This window comes from Homo sapiens, chromosome 1, assembly GCF_000001405.40.
Source record: "Homo sapiens chromosome 1, GRCh38.p14 Primary Assembly".
Classification (NCBI taxonomy): domain Eukaryota; kingdom Metazoa; phylum Chordata; class Mammalia; order Primates; family Hominidae; genus Homo; species Homo sapiens.
The window spans coordinates 241,706,377-241,727,750 of record NC_000001.11 but is presented as its reverse complement, the minus strand read 5'-3'; the positions used below and the strand labels follow the sequence as shown (position 1 = coordinate 241,727,750).

The 21,374-nt window shown below is 38.5% G+C and overlaps 1 protein-coding gene and 1 long non-coding RNA gene across 9 annotated transcripts in view; one reads left to right on the top strand and one right to left on the bottom strand.

Annotated features, from left to right (window-relative positions):
* WDR64 (WD repeat domain 64) overlaps positions 1-21,374 on the bottom strand; it is a 150,497-nt gene that overhangs the window by 75,027 nt on the left and 54,096 nt on the right. For all 7 annotated transcript variants that reach the window (NM_001367482.1, XM_011544087.3, XM_011544091.2 and 4 more), the window contains 2 exons: positions 15,870-15,949; positions 4,315-4,454 (listed from right to left, as the gene is read on the bottom strand). In NM_001367482.1, the coding sequence (NP_001354411.1) occupies positions 4,315-4,454; positions 15,870-15,949 (220 nt within the window). The remainder of the gene's footprint in view (positions 1-4,314; positions 4,455-15,869; positions 15,950-21,374) is intronic.
* Positions 1-21,374, top strand: part of LOC124904603 (uncharacterized) — an 81,624-nt gene that overhangs the window by 14,497 nt on the left and 45,753 nt on the right. Inside the window, exons 3-4 of one of the 2 annotated variants that reach the window (XR_007067054.1) lie at positions 3,813-3,893; positions 4,323-7,984. The exons of the other annotated variant lie outside the window; for it this stretch is intronic. This is a non-coding gene — a long non-coding RNA (uncharacterized LOC124904603). Of the gene's footprint in view, positions 1-3,812; positions 3,894-4,322; positions 7,985-21,374 lie in introns of those variants that run through there. 2 annotated transcript variants of the gene reach the window in all.

The window sequence follows — 21,374 nt, the reverse complement described above, 5'->3', positions numbered from 1 at the left end:
TCCTATTTCTTACCATACTTATCATACTGTTTTCTTATGTACTTGTTACTTTGCTTGTTTGTCTGTCTCTTCCCCTAGCATGTCAACTTTCTCATTGCAGGGCCCTGGTCCTCCTTGTTCAATGCTTTGTCCCTAGAACTCAGAACTCAGAACAGTATCTAACACAATAGACACTCAATAAATAAATAAGTATTTGTTAAATAACCAAATGAATGACCTCCTTTCATCTTTATAATGGCCCTCTGGGCTAAACATTCCTACATTTACAGATGAAGAAACCAAATGGAAAGATATTAAGTAATTTTCCCAAGTGGTGCTACTGAGATGCATGAATGAGTATCATCTTAATACACTCATTACATTTAAAAGAAATAGGAAAGATTCTCTCTTCTGTCTCTTCATCTCTGAGCATGAATGATCTCAACTTTTGCTAGAAAGATATCTTATTTCTCTTTAAATTATCTGTAGGAGACTCCAGGTCTCAATCGTAACATGTTTTTAGTTTTAGTGTCTCAAAACCTTCACTGTCTTTCCAGTACTACTTAAAAAAATTAAAATTTCCTAAGCTGGGCACGGTGGCTCACACCTGTAATCCCAGCACTTTGGGAGGCTGAGGCAGGTGGATAACCTGAGGTCAGGAGTTCAAGACCAGCCTGGACAACATGACGAAACCCTGTCTCTACTAAAAATACAAAAATGAGCTGGGCATGGTGGCAGGAGCCTGTAATCCCAGCTACTTGGGAGGCTGAGGCAGGAGAATAGCTTGAACCTGGGAGGCAGAGGTTGCAGTGAGCTGAGATGGTGCCATTGCACTCCAGCCTGGACAACAAGAATGAAACTTCGTCTCAAAAAAAAAAACTTTGTCCTTATTACAAAGTAATGTATATTTACTATTTAAAAAAACAAAGAGAAAACAAAAGAAAAAAATCCATCCATGTATATCCACAATCTTGTTAGCCTCACTAAAACATCTTGCTATTAATCATTTCCAATAACATATGATAGACACGTTATGTTTTAAAATTGATTTAAAATTGATTACTTACATATTATTGTATTTTATATATTATTTAGATATTTTCATATGACTATTCATTTACATAATGTTGAATGTCTATGTGATATTTCTATTGTATATGAGGATACAGCATAATTTACTTAATCAAAGCCTTTTTTTCCTCTTGAATTTTACTTTATTGGTACATCACCCTAATTATCTCTCTTTTTCAACTGCAATATTGAAGTGTAATCTACTTACCTTAAAACTCACCCGCTTTTAGTGTAAGGTTCTGTGAGTTTTAGTCAATTTAAATAGTTGTGCAACCATTATCATAATCTCTTTTTTTAAAGATGGTGTCTCACTATGTTGCCCAGGCTGGTCTTGAACTCCTGGGCTCAAGCGATCCTCCCACCTTGACCTCCCAAAGTGCCAGGATTACAAGCATGAGCCACTACATGCAGTCCCTTGCTCTTTTTTTAAAAATTAATTTTATTAATGTATTTTTTAACCCTATATAGCCAAATTATTATCACCTCAATATATAATCAATATAAAAACGATTGGCCCAGTGCCATGGCTCAGGCCTATACTAGTGCTTTGAGGCAGGAGGCTCACTTGAGCCCAGAAGTTCGGGCAACATAGCAAGACCCCATCTCTACCAAAAATTTAAAAATTAGCAAATTAGACAGACCTAAAAAAAAAAAAAGAGAGCTCTCTACAAAAAATAAAAATAATTAGCTTCGTACGGTGGCCCCCACCTGTAGTCCCAGCTACTGGGGAGGCTGAGGTGGGAGGATCCCTCGAGCCCAGTAGGTCAAGACAGCAGAGAGCCCCGAGGCTGCAATGAGCCCCATTGCACCATGCCATTGTACTCTAGCCCGGACGACAGAGCAAGATCCTGTCTCAAAAAATTGAGAGTTTTTTTTTTGGAGTGGGGGGATAGTGAATCTTTGGAGTCTTGTGTATTTTACACTCACAGCGGACCTCAATTCGGACTAGCCATGTTTTAAAAATTTGTGGCTACCATATTGGCAGGTGAGGGCTGCTGGCCTGCTGGGGAATCCTGCAGGTCAGGTCACGTCCTCAGTTGTGAACTGGAGGAGGCAGGTGCCGGGTGCATTTTCCTCTCTAGCCTGGGAGGAACCCCTCAAAGGTCCTTAGAGTCTTTCCCTTGTGGTTGCACATGGCAAGCATGGGCTCCAGGGAGATTCGCATAGTTCCGTGAGCATGGAGGGAACGACTGGGCCTTGGAGATCCCGATTGCTTCCATCGAAGGGTTTTGCATCGGGTAGAGGGTGTATGAGGGGTAGGGGGTGTACGAGGAGGGAGGTGCGGGGCTGGGGGACGTGGAGGGAAAGCAACCGGGTTTTTTTCTTTCCCTTCCCTTCCCTCTTTCATTTCCTTTCTGTATTTCCTGTTTCCTCCCTATTTTCTTGTTTTTCTTTTTTCCTTCTTAAATCAATATAAGCAATAGTGCATTGAGCATCCTTTAATACAGATCTTTGCACACTCATCTAGCTATTTTATTAGAACAAATACGCAGGAAGTTTTTGCCAGTTTTATTTCCACCCAGCAGTATGTAAACCTGTCTGTGTTCTTAAACCTTTGCCCTTCACTCCACTTTCTTTCCCCTACTGACTTGCTAAAGATTTTTGGTATTTGTTCAAGGATATTTTTCCAATTTCTCTGCTTTTTATTGCATTTTTGCCCCCTGCCCCTGCTGTCTGCCTTTAACTTTGTTTATGAGTATAGGGAGGCAGGCTGAGGAAGGGCAAATATGGGATTGACCACACTTCGGCACTAGATAGCTCTGTGACCTTGTGTAAGTGATTTAGATGTCATTTTCCCTGACGTGTGTAAAATGGGGAGAATTACTTTATAGGGTTGTTATTAGCATCAATGAGTTGCATATGTAAAATACTTAGCACAGCGCCTGGCACTTAAGCACTCAATAAATGGTAGTTATTATAATTTACAGAAAGTTTGAATGTTTATTTAGTCATATTTACTTTCTCCTTAGTCATAGGTGCTATGCTTAGGAATTACCCAAAAGTTATAAGACTATTCACCTATATTTTCTTCTGGAAATCTAGAATTTCTATGGTTTTGTATTTTAAATTTAAAATCTTTAATTCATATGTAATGTATTGTGCTGTATATTATGAAATCATGATCTGATTACATCTTTCTTTCTTTATGGCTAATCAGTTTTCCCAACACTTATTGAACAAACCATCCTTTGCTCACATATTTGAAACATTATTTCTGTCCTATACAAAATTCCCACATAGACATAAACTAATTCCTGCATTTTCTCCTTTGCTTCATAGATGTGATTATTTCTGCATTGACTATTGCTCTGTTTTATTTATTTTGGCTTTATGATATGCTTTAATATTGGACAGGGAAAGTGCCATCTCATAATTATATCTTCCAAAGTTTCTAGGATATTCCTATATACCAGTATTTTTACATTAACTTTAAACTTGGCAAGCTGACACTTAAGTAATTCTGACTAGCAATAAATAAATATATTAAACTGATGGAGAATATCTTACAGCACAATATTTCCATGTAGGAACATAGTATGTCCCTTAATTTGTGTTCTTAAACACAGTAAAACTTCATAGTTATCTTAATGTTAGTAGTGAATATTGCCTGTTAAGTTTATTCCTAATATTGCATATTTTTTACTCTTGTGAATGCTATCTCTTTGACCTTTTTTCCTCACTAATTATTGTTCTTATATAGACATTTATTTATTTATTTCCTTATTTATTTTTTAGAAATTTTTATTTTATCTTATTTTTAGGTTGCCATTGCAACTAGCCACCTTATGGAATTTATCTATTCCTACACTGAAAGTTGATTGTATTGATCTCTTTTCAAGCAGGTAATCCCATTATTTGCAAATATAATTCAGTCTCTGAATTCTAATATTTATAACTTTTTTTTTGTTTTATTACATTGGTTAGAATGTTTCAAACACTGTTTAATAACAGAAATCCTCATTTTTTTCCTAATGTTCCTATCTATTGAAAGGCCCCTTATGTTTTACTTTTGAGGGTAAAATTTGCCATCTTTTCAATATTGTTTTTCTTTTACACTTGTTTTTAAACGTGTTCTTACTTATGCTATAATCAATAGAAAGAGAGAACATTGGCTTATCATTTCCTTTTCCATACTGACAATATTTTTCTCAATGATTCAATGACTATCATTTATTTCAGTCAAAAATTGTATCATCCCTATGCCTTCCAACAGATAATTTTCCGGAAAAAACTAGTTTTGTTTTGTTATTTTCTTTTTGTTACCTTTGCAGAGGAAAGGCTGACGACATGTTGATCTTTTTCATTGGTTACGATCTCGGCGATACTGAACATGTGTCCTACAAGTTTCCCTACTGGCTTGGTGCTGATATTGGGGTGCCACAACCGGATGACCTTATCATCTCCTGAAAAGGAGGACAGGGAAAGATTGTTGGTTTTCTGAGGTGGTCAGAGTTTCAAATGTATCTCTCACTGTATCATACCCGTATCTTTCTTCGAACAGCAAATCACAGTCCGTTTCTGGCAGGATGCATTATTCTGTGATTGATGTGCTAAGGGGCTGGCCTTGGTTTGGATCTGCTGCTTCTTGTGAAGGCTGTTTTGTAAAGACTGTATTTACATACACAAATGTGAATTCTCATAAATATTTTATGAGTTCTTTTCTTGACTCAATCCTTTCCTATACTTTGATGCATTAATGTATTATTTATACTTTATTTACTTCCAAAGATATTTAAGGCAGCTGTTCTTTTGTTTTCATTCTTAAATTATGCAAACATTATAATAATGAAAGAAATCAAGGACAGAGGAAACTGCACTTAATCTTCACCATTATAACAAATCAACTGTTGTCATTTTTCCGTCTTCCCTTCTAGCATGTATTCATAGGCATATATAATTTATGTGTAGTTACTACCATAGAATAAATATGGTTTTTTAATTGCTAAAAATCATAGAAGGGCATAATTTTTATAAAAATGTCTTTTCCTCCATAATCTCTAACTCCCTGTGGGAAATCACTGTTAACTTTTTAAAAATATAAATTAGATATATTTCTAGATACATATTTATACCCACTACTTTTTTTTATTTAGGAAAGGCCACGAGCTCATGCCCGCATAATTATCCTTTTAGTTACTATTTCAGAATTTCTTAACCCCTTGTCCATTGATTAGTCCACTAATTCTAGTTTTTTACTTTATTCAGCAATACTGCAACGAATGGTTATTGTACTTCTGTGGTCTTTTTTTCCTTTTGGATTATTTACTGTGGATAAAGTCCCAAGTGTGGTATCATTATGTTACAGGCTATATACATTTTTATCACTTTTAAACATATTGCTAGCTTACTTTCCAAAATGGCTGTACTAAATCCCAAGGCCATCAATGATATATTCTGTCAGTTTCATTAAATTCTGGCCAGCACATGAATATTGTCATGATTTAAAATGTTTGCTATGTTAATAGTTCTAAATGATACCTTATTTTTAATTACATTTTATGATAGCTAATGCCGTTGGGTATTTTTTCCCAAATATATCTGCTAATTGTATCTTCTTCGTCTGTAAATTTTTTGACTATATCCTTTAGCCATGATCTATTGGAATTTTGACAGCACTGAAAATAAAAGTTGAACCAAGAATGTATTATCATATGTACACACACACACACACACAGTTTTATGAAAAAACTGGCTGCATTTTCACCAAAACCATATCCTCTCTTCCTGGATACACATTTCCAGGCTCCTTTGCAGTTAGGCGTGGTCAGATTACTGAGTTTTCGCCAGTGAATTCTGAGAGCTGATTTTAAACTTTACATTTTCATTGTGTCTGACCCATTCACATTTTGGGAGTTATTTTTTACAGTAGCCAGCATTACTTAAACAAATGTGCAGCTGTAATCTAATTATGTTTCCAAAAAGAATAAAAACTGTAATCATTTACAAAACATAGAATATTTTTAAGATATTAAATTTTATATTTCACAAATAGTTCTTTAAATGTCATCCTGGAAACTGAGTCATAAAAACATCAAAGAACTTCAAACTGGGATCCTAGAAGTTGCATAATCCAACTTTCTTATCTCACAAAAGAAAGAAACTAACTCCCAAAGATTAAGTAATTTTAATTGAATGATTTAATTTAATTATTTAAATGTGATTTGTACATCTGAGAAAATGGAATTGAGTTAGTAATACAACAAAGCATGCCTAAGCACCTTACATATTACCAAGGACCTTTAGGCTACTAGACAAAAAGGCTGTATAAAGGCGTTATAACCTAAGTTATAATTTATGTATAACCTAAATTATTAACAGTCATAATTTACATATAAAAAGCCTAAAATTCAAAATAGTCATTTTACATTCTTCACAGAATTAGAAGAAACTATTTTAAAATTTAAGTGGAACCAAAAAAGAGCCTGAACAGCAAAGACAGTCCTAAGCAAAAAGAACGAAGCTGACGGCATCACACTATCCCACTTCAAACTATACTACAAAGCTCCTGTGACCAAAACAGCATGGTACTGGTACGAAAAGAGACACATAGACCAATGGAACATAATAGAGATCTCAGAAATAAAACCACACATCTACAACCAGCTGATTGTCAACAAACCTGACCAAAACAAGCAATGGGGAAAGGATTCCCTATTTAATAAATGGTGCTGGGAGAACTGGCTAGCCACATGCAGAAAACTGAAATTGGTCTCTTTTCTTACACCTTATACAAAAATTAACTCAAGATGGTTTAAAGACTTGAATGTAAACCCCAAAACCATAAAAGACCTAGAAGAAAATCTAGGCAATACCATTCAGGACATAGGCATGGGCAAAGACTTCATGACAAAAACACCAAAGGCAATGGCAACAAAAGCAAAAATTGACAAATGGGATCTAATTAAGGAGCTTCTGCACAGCAAAAGAAACTATCATCAGAGTGGACAGACAACCTACAGAATGGGAGAAAATTTTTGCAATCTATCCATCTGACTAACATCTAATATCCAGAGTCTATAGGAACTTAAACAAATTTACTAGAACAAAAACTACCCCATTAAAAAGTGAACAAAAGACATGAACAGATACTCCTGAAAAGAAGACATTTATGCGGCCAAAAAACATATTAAAAAAACTCAACATCGTTGGTCATTGGAGAAATGCAAATCAAAACCACAATGAGATACCATCTCATGCCAGTGAGAATGGTGATTATTAAAAAGTCCAGAAACAAGAGATGCTGGCAAAGTTGCGGAGAAAAAGAAATGCTTTTACAGTGTTGGTGGGAGTGTAAATTAGTTCAACCACTGTGGAAGGCAGTGTAGCGATTCCTCAAATATCTAGGGACAGAAATACCATTTGACCCAGCAATCCCATTACTGGGTATATACCCAAAGGAATACAAATCATTCTATTATAAAGATACATGGCTGCGTATCTTAATTGCAACACTATTCACAATAGCAAAGACATGGAATCAACCCAAACACCCATCGATGATAGATGGGATAAAGAAAATATGGTACATATACACCATGAAATACTGTGCAGCCATAAAAAGGAACAAGATCATGTCCTTTGCAAGGATGTGGATGGAGCTGGAAGCCGTTATCCTCAGCAAACTAACACAGGAACAGAAAACCAAACACTGTATGTTCTCACTTATAAGTGGGAGCTGAACCTTGAGAATGGACACATGGACTCACGGTGGGGAACAACTCACATTCACTGGGTGGTGAGGAAGAGAGAGGATCAGGAAGAATAGCTAATGGATGCTGGACTTAATATCCAGGTGATAGGTTGATCTGTACAGCAAACCACCATGGCACATGTTTACCTATGTAACAAACCTGCACATCCTTCACATGTACCCTGGAACTTAAAATAAATTTGAAGGAAAAAAAGAAAATAAATAAATTTTTAAAACCCAAAATAGTAATTCTAGTTAATCTGATATTATATATTGGGCCACCCATTAGGATGTATTTCCTGATGTATATTGGATTTTTATTTTGATAGATTATCCACACTGAAAGGGCATGTCAGGTATGGAGGGATAATTAGGTGACTTGTTAGTTGGGTATTTATAAACCAGGCAAATTTGATAGATGCTTCCATAATTCTATGATTATTTTATTGGGCCTCATGAAAAAGCATAGTATTTTTCTCTACCTTTTTTCTCTTCTTCGAGTATCCCAATCCATCCATCAAGTCTCAGCATAGCTTTTCCTCCAGTAATATTCCAGAATACTTCCATATTCTTCAAACCTGAGTGCCCTACCTATGTGCCTCCTTCATCCCCATCATCCTTCATAGTTAATTATTTGTCTGGACCACTATTAGACTCCAGGTGCCTTGAGGACAGGACTTGTTGTTGTTTACTGTCACATATAATCTATAGTAAGAATTCAAAAGATATTTTTTGAACCACTTCAATAACTTCATTGTTGGGATGATGAATCACAGCTCAGAGGTTTAACTATCAAGTCCCCAAAGAGGGGAAAAACATGTATTCAAACAAAAAAATGGATCTTCATTGAATGTTCATCTAATTTTTTTGGAAGGTCATTTGTTCATTTCAGAGGCTCTCACTTCTTGGAGTGTTATTAAAGGCAGGCTGAAAAAAACTCATTGCATAGCTGATGGTTTCCATTTCTTAAGAATTGCAATTGAGTGAATTCATTCCCTCCCAAATTTATATATTGAAGCCCTAGCCCCAACACGATGGTGTTTGGAAATGGGGGGCCTTTGGGAGATAATTAGGTTCCAATGAGGTAATGAAGGCGGGCCCTCATGATGGGATTAATGTCCTTATTAGAAGAGACACCAGCTCCTGCTGCCCCAACCCACCCTCTCTCCCCTCTCTCTCCCTGCCATTTGAGAACATGGAGAGAAGGCAGATGTCTACAAGCCAGGAAGAGAGCTCTCGCCAGAAACTGACAATGCTGGCACCTTGATCCTGCACTTCTAGCCTCCAGAAAATTTCTGTTGCTTAAACCTTTCTGCTTATGGTATTTTGTTAAGGCAGCTCAAGTTGGCTAAAACATCAAACAAGATATTGGAGGGGTTGTGGTTAATGAGGAAATGGAATATTTTCTTAAATTTCAAACTTTCATGCTGCCCTTATTAACAGCAAGAGAGAAAAATCTCTTGAGAAGCTAACTGTGCACTTAGAAATTTTTTTAAATCTATGCTCCCCCTTCTCTTCTGATACCTTTGTGCCCTTAGTATTTTGCAAGATGTGAAGGATACAAAGAAATTCTAGATATTGTTCCTGCCCAAGGTCTACTTTTTCAGAAGACCCAGGTTTACACCCTTTTAGACTTAGTTTGGTTATTACTCTCCGCAGCGCCTTCCCTAATCACCTTCCTCTGCCCTAAACGGAGTTCAGACTCCTTCTTCTGTGTTTTTACTGTGCTTTCTTCAGCTTTCTTTTACAGCACTCATAATTGTCTGTTTACCTATCTGTTTACCCATTATCTGGTGAGCCTAGTAGTTCTCATTGATAGCAGTGTTTGGCAAGTAGTAAGTGCTTAATACATGTTTGCTAAGTAAATGAGTTGGCTTGTAGAGTCACTCATGAAGTGGTTAAGGACACGTATTTTGAGCGAATCATATTTGATTTGAAACCTGGCTCTACCCCTTAACTAGCTTTATGACTTTGAGTAAGTTGCTTTGCCTCTCTGCATCTGAGTTTTCTTACCTATAAAATGAGGATAAATGGAAGTTAACATCATAGTTTTATTGTGAAGATTGAGTGGAGTTGTAAATGTGTAACTGAACAGTTTCTGGACCGTAAACTAACAATTACTATTACTATTATTCTAAGTTCCTACAATGCATTTAGATTATATTTAGGGGAGAGGAACTGATACACAGATATATGAAATATGATCCCTGCTCTTGAGAGTTCACAATCTAGTAGTAGCAATAAGGTAAGGAGATATAGAGGGTAAACAACTATTTGTAAAGAGTATGTCAAATCTGAAGATAGGTCTTTATACTATAAATATTATGGCTCATAAAGAGTTAATTCCCTGTTTTTTTGTTGCTTTCTATTTTTTCTTTCTTTTTTTTTTCTTTTCTGCGTGTGTGAAGCCAGAATTTAGATAAAAGTCACATATCAAAGAGAGGATTTTCTTTCCTTTAGCAGATTCTTCTCTCAGTTGGGTGAGTCACTTCATCTAAGTGCATCACTCTTGATGAGATGAGCGGGCTTAGTTCACACAAAAAAGCAGGAGAGAGATAGCATCTAGTAAACCAGATTTCTGTGGTCCAGGAAGAACACAGGGCTGAGTGGGTGCAAAGAGAACTGATTCAGTCTCAGCTCTGCCAGCTAACTAGTTGTGCGACTTGTCTGGGGTCTCGATTTCCTCATGTAAAATTATAATCTTCAAGGCTCCATCCAGCTCTAAAATTTCATGATTATGTGCTCCGGAGGGAGACATCACTACAGTGAAAGCAGAGGGCAATCTGGAATTTTCATAGGTAGTAAGAAACTCACCAGATATTCAGTTACATGATTCAAACTGACTAATTCCAATAATGCAGTATCTTGACTGCATTTGCTTTTCATTGGGAATTGTCAAGATGTGTCATGCTATTCAGACATGTTCAGAACCTAAGCCTTGCACCCATAGGTGATCTTACATCATGTTGGTGGGACATCCCCTGAAATGGGCATTATCATTCCTGGATGATGAGGCTGGCAATAGGCTATATCCCCAGAAGAAAATCTATGACTTGTATATCACACGAAGAAGAATGCAATAGAGATCTGCCACCTGAGAAATATCTAGGCCTCTTAAACTAATGGCTTTGTCCGTTATTCGTTGTGAAGAAAATCCAATCTTTTGGAGGTTCCCTATTGCCTACTCCACAGATGTCCTCCAGCTCTGCTTGCTTTCGTTGCTTGGAATGGAATCATATGTGGTGGCTTTGTGGAGGCAGAATTAGCAGAAAGGGACAGATGCGAAGCTCTCAAAGCCTATACTATTTCATCTGTATTATTATCACCATCGCCATCATCATCATCATCATCATCATCATATGTTGATTCATGCTATACTTTGTAGTTACCTATAAACTTGTCTTACACTATTAGGCTTTAAATGTTCGCAGGTTAGGAATACAACCTGACCTTTATAAGGTTAATAGCCTAGTCTATAGCAATTGTGCAGAAAATATTTGTTGAACAAAACATGAAAAAAATGCATGCAGAGCCCCCAAAATATCTTTTTGGGAGGTAATTGTGTTCCTACTCTGAATCTTCCATACTAAGAACTTAATTCCTAAAAGGCTAGTGCAAACACTGTTCAGCAAAAATATTCTTGATGGTCACCAAAATAATGCTCAGGAAATTTTTAGGTTTTCTTGGTAAACACTCTGTCCTGGTTTGGCTTTTTTTTTTTTCCTGCAAAAGCTTGTGCTTTTTTGAAGCTCATCAAATGTCCCTGCACATTTAACACATTCAGCTATGCCTAGCAAAGCTGCTTTTATTGTATATTTTGAGTCGTCAGCGGGTACATACCGTACATTTAGCAATGGTGCTTGGCTGAGTCACTAATCAACAAGAGTACTCTCCTGAGAAAAATGTGTTTTCAGTTACTGGGAATTTGCATTTTCTACTAATAGAGGCTCCATAACTGTGACAATTCAATAAATTATGCATGATGAAAAGTATTAGTTGCTTGTCGGTCATACTACTAAGTGTTTTCTTCCCTTGGTGAGAGAGCTAGAAAACCTATAATAAACACGTTTTCAAGCTGTAGATGAGGGTCTTATAATATAATGAACACTGAGGTTAATGAGAGTCAAATGACTTAATCCAAAAACACTGAAGTGGTTTAAGTCCTAAAACTTTACCAAACACATTTTTCCCCCAGAAATGATTAAAATACTAAGATTACAAAGCCTATAAAAACTGGTCAGTTCTTAACATTTTGTATTCTTTTGTGTGTGAGGGCAAAGAGCTGTGAAGAGGAGTTGGTTAAGATTAATGTGACAGCATAATGTGACAATCAGATTTTAGAATCAAATTTCACATTAGCCATATATTTACGTACTGCTTTTTCAAAGGGTTTCATGTGCAGGGTTTGCATTGAAAGAGGAAGAGGGCTAATATTTTTGCCTAACTAAAGACATGCAACGGCGACAGGAGGATTCATTGCAGTTTGATTCTCAAACATGTTTGCTGCTTTATCTCTCACACCAAGGGGCTCTCCCTCCCTCATCTCTTGCATCCTCCTTCTGATGTGTGATCCAAACCAAAAACTGTGCCCATTTCCGTTGGAAGTAATAAGCCAAGACAGTCATTAACTCAGGAAGGAGCAATGGGGATCAAGCAGTTGGGATATAAGTAACCCACGTCTTTTTCTGAAAGTATCCCACTTCTTTTTCTGATTCTAGCATTTGTTTCTTGATGTCTTCTAGACTTCAGTATGGAGATCTTTAAATAACTGTAATTAGTTTGGTTGAGAGACTTGGATTCCTGTTTTTCTTAGAATCATCACTACCAAGTATCAAGAAACTTGCTCCCTACCCAAGCCATGACTCCCACACACTTCTTTACAGACTTCTTATCCATATGCCTTCCTTTCTTTTCTTCATGTCCTCACTTGAGTCTTAGAGGTTTGTGGACAATTAATGTTTTGGTATTTCTGAGTGCACAAAGCTGTAATTATATATTGAGTAGCATCTAATTGGCAAACTGGGTTCCAAATTTTCCAAAGGACATTTTTAGTTTATCTCCCTGTGAACAGGCAGTTCTTTAAAAAATAGAATCACAGTATTTTAGGCTCAGAGGGATCTTGAAATGTATTTAGTCCCACTTCCTCATTTTCACCAGATAAGGAAAATGAGCAAAAGGGAGCAATTAAGTGATTGCTGAAAAATCAGAGTTGGTGATTGGCCAGGCGATGGCTAAACCCAGCTATTCTAACTTCTAGTGCATTGTTTTTATTTGTTGTGCTTGCCAATAGGCTACTATATTATCTTTGTAATACTGTTGGAACCATAAGCTAATTTCAGTTTAGTGTTATAGAAGGCCCAGAGCTGAGCATAGATTTAAATATAAATTTTGAATGCACAGTGTACTTGAAAAAAAAATTAACTTTATGCCCTTAGGGGAGATTCCCCAGCCATGAAATAGGAGCTCAGCTGTCTTTATATTTAGCAATATAGGCACTTCAGGGATTAGGCAGGACACTTTAGATAGGAAACCAAACCGCCTGCTGTGTATGTTTGAGAGTGAGAAATTTGAAAAAATCTTATGATAGACAGAGCCAATAGCACTTACTCATTAAACATCATGGCTCCTTTAATAGATATTTTTGCTGTAAACTCTTTTGCCAATGATGTATTTATTGATTTTTTTCTTGATGACAGAGTTTTCTTCTTTTTTAAAAAAATATTTATTGTTTCTTCCCTTTTTAAAGTTTGGGTTTGCAATGTAGGCCACTTTCTTGATGTTTGTTTGTGTTTCTGTTTTGCTCATTTAAGTCTTGCAAGCCTACATGCCTTCTGTCTTTTACAAGGCCACCCTGGCCTCCTTGAGGAACCTCTGGGAGCTCATCTTCTCCCAGATCCAGGTAGCCTAGGGAGCCCTGACATCATTCATCTCCAACCAGATCTTTTCCTGTCACCAAAAGGAATCTTCTCTTGAATGTCCAATCAACACTTGACATTTAAGTTCACAATTGAGCTTTCTTTTGTTCTTCTTCCCCAGGTAAGCACCCACTTCCTAATTTCTGTACAACTATCAACACAATTGCTACTCTTTCATTTCTCCCACCATACAAACGTGGAGCTGGTTGATTTCTCTTACTAATCCCCAAAAGCATTGCATCTCCAAGTCTTATGAATAATTAATTTCCCATGTCTTTGAGGTCGAGTCTTTCTTTTTTTAAATAATAGCACCTACAGTAATTCAGACCCTCTCCATCTGACTCATGTCTTCTCTAACAGTCTCCTAACTAGAATCGCAAATTTCATTTTATCCCAACAAAACCTCCACCTTTGCCAAAGTGATTTTGCCAATGTGTTTAAACAGAGAGGATTAATATTTATTGAGAACCTATTATGCACCAAGCATAAATTATCTCAATCAATCTCAAACACCATCCTATGAAGTAGGCATCCTTCCTCCCTCCCTCCCTCCCTCCCTTCCTTGCTTTTTCTCTTTCTTTCTTTCTTTTTTCTTTCCGTTCCTTCTTTCTTTCCCTTCCTTTCTTTCCTTCCTTCCTTTCCTTCCTTTCTTTCCTTCCCTTCCTTCCTTCCCTTCCTTCCCTTCCTCCCTCCCTCCCTTCCTTCCTTCCTTTCCTTCCCTTCCTCCCTCCCTCTGTCCCTCCCTCCCTCCCTCCCTTCCTTCCTTCCTTCGTCCTTTCTTTTTGAGACAGGGTCTTGCTCTGTCATCCAGGATGGAGTGCAGTGGCACAGTCACGGCTCACTGCAGCCTCAACATCCTGGGTTCCAGCAATACTCACACCTCAGCCTCTCTAGTAGCTAGGGCTACAGGTACACACCAAATGCTCAGCTAATTTTTAATTTTTTTTTTTTGTAGAGACAAGGTCTTACTGTATTGCCCAGGCTAGTCTTGAGCTCCTGGGCTCAAGCGATCCTCCTGTCTCAGCCTCCCAAAGTGCCGGGATTATTGGTGCGAGCCACTGCGCCTGTCCAGGTGTTATTTTCTTATTGTTTGTATTATTAATAACAAATTTGTATTGAGGACTTTGAATTAGTTTAGTTTTGTTGCTATTGTTGTTGTTGTTGTTTTGAGACAGGCTCTTGCTGTTGCCTAGGCTGGAGTGCAGTAGCACAAACATGGCTCACTGCAGCCTCAACCTCCTGGGCTCACGTGATCCTCTGCCTCAGCCTCTTGAGTAGCTGAGACTAGCAGTCTTTTCATGTTGCCTAGGGCAGTCTTGAACTCCTAGGCTCAAGCAATCCTCCTGCCTCGGCCTCCCAAAGTGCTGAGATTACAGGTGTAAACCATGGAGCCCAGTCAGTTTAATTCCTATAATAACATTATGGGTAGGTACTATTATCAACTCCACTTACAAATGAGATTGGAGCTTAAAGGAATGAATAGCCTGCCCACCACACAGCTCGCAAGTGAGAGAGCCAGGAGTTGTACCCATACAGTCTGACTCCAGGGCCCAGGCTCAAGGCCATCCTATGGATATTAAAACCCCAGTATTATAAATAAGGAGTCTGAGTCTCAAAGATCATTTCAGTCCCCTACCTTCCCCCGACAAAACTTATTGTGTTACCTTTTTCCTTCCTCTTAGCAGATAACCTTTTTTGTTATTTTCTACCTAACCTATCCCTTAAATGTTGGTATTCTTCAAGATTGTCTTCCTGGTCTTCTCATCTGTTAACTCTAAACCATTGGCTCTTGACCTTTTTGGTCATGATCTCCTCTGGAGGATTTGATGAAATTTTGAAATTTTTCTCCAGAAAAAGGCACACGCACACACATAAGTGCCGGGGGCTCCAGGTCTCCTGGGAGACCTAGGAACTCATGCTCTCACACATAAAATAAGCTCCAGATGGATTAAAGCTCTAAAGGTAAAACAGAAAACAAAACAGTAAGAACAAATTCTAGTAAAATACAGGAAAATTTCTCTCACACACTCTTGGGCTGAAGAAGGCTTTTCTAAGTATGTTATCAAATCCAGACGCCAGAAAGAAAAAGACAAACAGATTTGACTTGATACAAATTTGTAAATTCCCTAATGTGTTCTTCCTAGCACCAAAACTCGAAGAGAACGATGTTTGCAAAGTAGAAAACCCCTATGTAATGTGAACCGCCCTCTCACCTCCAGTGACAATCACATTTGCCTTAACACAGTAGCAAAAAGTGTTGGCTCCTCTTGGCATGGAAAACTCTCTGACAGGCCTGGAAAACACAAATTAGATGGAAAACATATATATTTTTCTTTATCAAGTTAATTCTGACTTATAAATAGATTATGTTTGATAGGCTCATTTCTAAGTTGGTTGTAAATCCATTTGCCCCCAGGCCGTATTACAAGTAATGATTAAGTCGTAATTAACAGTAAGAATCTACTTACTCCATTATGTGGTGATATTCGCGTAGTACTTTGTATTGTTCCTGTTTAAAAGAAAATCCAGCCCTCCATGCTGGGTTTGTGGTTTTGCTTGTGGTGAGGATGGGCCGACCTGTTATAAGGTCTTAATCCGGAAAGGGTATTGGGTGGTTAAGTGAGTCTGTTGGGTAGCACATAATGCCAGGAACCCTTTTGGACACTTCTCCTTTGCTCACCAGCCACATCCAATCTGCTGTCAAGTCCTGTTAATTTTTCCTCTGAAATATACCTGAAATCTGACCACTTCTTCCCACTCCCACTGCAGTATCTTGGTTGAACTCTCCATCCTCTCTCACCAGAACTACTGCAATAAACTGGTAATTTCTCTGCTTCTACTATTTTTTTTTTTTTTTTGAGACAAGGTCTCGTTTTGTCACCCAGGCTGGAGTGCAGTGGCACAATCTTGGCTCACTGTAACCTCTGTCTCCCAGGTTCAAGCAATTTTCCTGCCTCAGCCTCCTGAGTAGCTGGGATTACAGGCATGTGCCACCACACCCAGGTAATTTTTGTATTTTTAGCAGAGATAGTGTTTAACCATGTTGGACAGGCTGGTCTCAAACTCCCGACCTCAGGTGATCCACCTGCTTCAGCCTCCCAAAGTGCAGGGACTACAGGCGTGAGCCACGCGCCTGGCCTGCTTCCACTATTGCCCATTCTTCTTTCCTCATTCCCAACCCAAATCCCATTGTCGTGCTGCAGACAGAGTGACCCTTGTAAAATATGAATTAGATCACATCACTTCTCTCCTGTGGCTCCCTGGTGCTCTAAGAAGACTTCATTTCTTTTACCTGGCTGGCCTGGCCCTGAGTGATCCCTATCGCCCTTCCAGGCTCACCCCATGCCCTCCTCTTGCCCCTGTGCTGGATTCTACTCCAGCTATACTCTCTCATCAGCCTCCCTTCTGGACATACTGAGCTCTTTCTGTCCTCAAGAGCTTTTGCACAGGCCAAAGATGTTTGTCTCCCAGACCCCAGCCCCACTAACAACCATCCTCCTTTGGGTGTCAGCTTAAATGTAACTTTCTTAGGCCTTTCTGGGACATCACCCTCCCACCCTCCCACCCATCTCCACCAGTGAAACTCTGTCTTTTGTCTTATTCTCCCTTAAAGCATGTAGCATCTACCATATATTCATATGTATGTTTCGGGTGTTAGTATCTGTGAATGGTATTGTGCCATGGTTAAAAAAGCTCAAGCTTGAGTGACAACGTGTGGGCTTCCATCCTGGCTCCATCACCGTGCTTCAATTTCCTCACTTAGTAGACGAGACAATGGACAATAATAATACCAACCTCAGAGATTAGCAACAACTGAAAGCTGTTACTTCCATTGATCAGATGGGGTAACAGGAAGAAACAGGGTTATTGGAAAACAGGGGCCACCCAGAAGAAGCCTAGACAAGAAGCCCAGACAAGGAGGTCTGGGAGGAGGCACTTGCAGAACTGAGACACACAAGCAGGGAAGGGGCAGGGAAGGAGAAACCTGGCCTTGTTGCTGTGTATGTACATGTTTTTCTTTTTTTTTTTCTTTTCTTTTTTAAAAATACAAAGGGTAGCATATACCATTCTGTTCATTGCTTTTTCACTTAATAACGTATTTTGAAGAGCTGTCTAAATCGTATTTTAAAACTGTTCTTTTTTTTTATTGCCACCAAATACTCCTTTGTATTACTAAATTAGCACTTATTTAATTTCTGAGGGGAACCCGCCTGTCTCAAATTTCCTGTGATTACAAATAATATTGTAATAAACAGTATCTTGTGAAAGGGCTATTTTTGTATATATAAGTATTTCCATTTTAGTATATATATGAATTTCTAGAAATAGTATTGCAAGTCAAAAGGTATGTGTATTTATAATTTTGAAAGATACTGCAGTTCCTTTTTATTTCTCTTTACCCTCTGGACTATACTTTTTACAGTGTATCTCTTTACAAAAACTGGGGCTCACAAAGCCTAACTTTCTTTCTTTCTTTAGTAGAGACAGAGTCTCACTCTGTTACCCAGGCTGGAGTGCAATGGCATGACCATAGCTCACTGCAGCCTCAAACTGTTGGACTCAAGCGATCCTCCTGCCTCAACCTCCCAAGTAGCTGGAACCATAGTATGAGCCCCTGCACCTGGCCAAAGCCTAACTTTAAGGTAGTTTATATTTTGGAGTTGTGTTTGAGATATTGAACCTAAGGGGTAATAACCAGAAATATCTTGCATTGCAATTATTACCCTAGACCTCGGGCAAGAATGAATTCTTGCCACAGCTGCCCAACTATTGAACTTTCATATTTCTCAATATGAAGGAAATGGATGCAAATTAAACAAAAGCCCATAGAGTGCTCAGAGCACAGTCACAAAATCAATGAGACAGCATGGAAATAAAGTCTGAACTGCAAACTTTAGGAGGATGCAGATTTATGATTTAGCTGAAACATATCTTATTAGTTTAATGTCAGAAAAAGATGTGAAAAAAAGAGTTTGCTCAACTAAATTTGAGCATCACAAAGGAGAGATCCATACTCAGCAGTTCAGGCATTCATCTGAGTCTATACTGGATACCATGGGTCATATGTAGCTTTTCCAATTAAATTACTTTATTCTTCCTTAAGCCTAAAGTAAATAGTTATCCTTAGACCTGTATATACAACTTTATCAACATCTTAACTTTACCTAGGTCAGAATGCTCAAGACCTTAGTGCAGTCGTTCCAAAATCTGATTGTGCATCAGAATCACTTTGGATATTAAAAAAGAAATTCCTAGGCTGGGTGCAGTGGCTCACGCTTGTCATCCAAATACTTTGGGAGGCCGAGGTAGGAGGATCGCTTGAGCCTGGGAATTCCAGACCAGCCTGGGCAAATGGTGAAACCCAATCCTTAAAAAAAAAAACAAAAAAACAAAAAAAAAAACCATGGACCTCAGCCCTAACTTGATAAATCAGACTCTCCAAGGGTGGAGTCATAAATGTCTATTAAATTATTTCTTAAAGGCTGGGTGCAGTGGCTCATGCCTGTAATCCCAGCACTTTGGGAGGCCAAGGCGGGCGGATCATGTGAGGTCAGGAGGTCGAGACCAGCCTGGCCAACATGGTGAAACCCTGTCTCTAGTAAAAACACAAAAATTAGCCAGGCATGGTGGTGTATGCGTGTCATCCCAGCTACTCAGAAGGCTGAGACAGGAGCTGCTGGACCCTTGAAGGGGAAGTTCCAGTGAGCTGAAATTGTGCCACTGCACTCTGGCCTGGGGAAGTCTGTCTCAAAAAATAAAAAATTCTTACAATTATTTTTCATGCACACCACTGACATTTATTTGTAAATTATGTTCATATATTACTGAATTAAAATTATATAAACATCATAAAACAGACAACAATAAAATAATGAGATAATAATTTAAAGGAAAGAAAACTTCTAGAGTTTTCTACCCCCATTTGATGGATCATCTTGCATACCCCCTGGAGTATATTCGCCCTGCTTTGCAGACCTCACAGGACATGGGCTGTCTCCTGATACAGTTTCAAGAAAGAACAAGCACTCTTTGGCTCTTCTTATGAGAGCCCCAGTAAAAAGAAGAGGTGGGATGGGCAGACTTCTATAGGGCCCTGCCATAAAGTGGATGGAGCAGGACAGGGCCGACTGGTAAAGTTGACTTAGAATATACTGTGGACGTGAGGTCAGGAGACCTAGATTCTGGCTGTGTTCTGTTGCTAAATATATGACTTTAGAAAAGTCACTTAATCTTGCTGAGCTACAGTGTCTCCACTTATGAAATCAAGGGTTGACTATGACCTAAATAGTTTCTTCCATTCTTAAAATCTTAGATATTGTCCTTCCCCTATACCTGCAGCTGGGGCAGGGGTCATGCAGGGCAACTGTGCAGCCTTTGTGGATGGCGTCCCAGAGCTGTGGGGGGCACAGCCTGCACAGCCTATCGCAGTGGTCCCTGGTTGGGGTAGACATACATGAATAAGCACTCTCATAATTCATCATACTTTCTGAGCAGCAATGCACCTAGATGAGGAGGAAGAACCAAAATCAGAACAGGCTGGTGGGTGGTGAGAGATCTTGATTTCTGGATTCTTTGAAGGTTGCTGGCTATAAAATTTTGTATTGGAAAGGCTTAGGCTTGTAATATGTTTGAAAAGTTCTGCTGTGTCTAAGATTGCTAAAAAAATTAGTTTTTCATATCAAAGAATGTCTAGGGCTCATAAGGGAGTTAAGGAGAGAGGACAGTTGACTCTAAGTGTACTCCAAAAGGGAAATACTCAAGGTAGGAAAGTTGCCAGGGGCAGCAAAGCCTATGAAGGAAGTAGAGTTTTTAGGGCTTACTCAGTGGGTCCTCAGTCAGTGAGTCAACAACATTTATGAGTGCCAGCTGTACGCCCAACACTGCCCTAGGGGATAGATACATCAGTGAACTACAAGAACAGAGGTGAGAGTGTCCATCAGTTGAGGGTCACAAACTCAAAGTCTGCAGCAGCCAGGCAGGTAAACTAGCTGGGAGAAGGGGTTGGGTATGACACCACAGGGAGAAGGGGGGCTGTGGTGAACTGAGAGTGCATGCCTGTGAAAAGGGGGAGCCCGGGCCCAGAGCCAGCCAACATGCACAACAGGAAAGGCAGGTTCACCACAACAAGCAAAGATCAAAAAAATAAGTGATCCCCCAAACACATTTTGTAGCTGCATTTGGCTAACAGGCTACCAGTTTGCAGGAATAGCTCTCATATTTTTTGAAATAGACACTACAATTAAAAATCAATTATTTAAATAAAATTTGTTAAAATACCTTGATGAGTGAGAACAATCACCTGAAAAAATTTGATTTTTAAAAATTTAATAAAAAATAATGCAAAATAACCAAATTCACTGCTAGATAGAAAGCTTTACTAAATGGAAGAGCAGGTAGTATTATCTCTATGTGAAAGAATACTTCTAAAATATTTAAAACAGTTTTTTGAACTAATTTAAATCTACTTTGTAAGTAGTTATCCTTCTATCAAATGCAAAGTTCATAAAAGGAGTCTCAATTTAGTAACATAAATCAAAAGTCAGTATTTAGGCTTTTGAAAATGCTTAAATGTCCCAGATGAGAAGTAGTTAAGTTCTAACTGATGACTCATTTACAGGTTTGCCAGTGACATACTTTGTCACCATAGCTGCTTGGCTGAATGAACTGAACTGGATGTAGTACAAACCAGGAAGGGCATTATTTTCTTTTACCCTGTC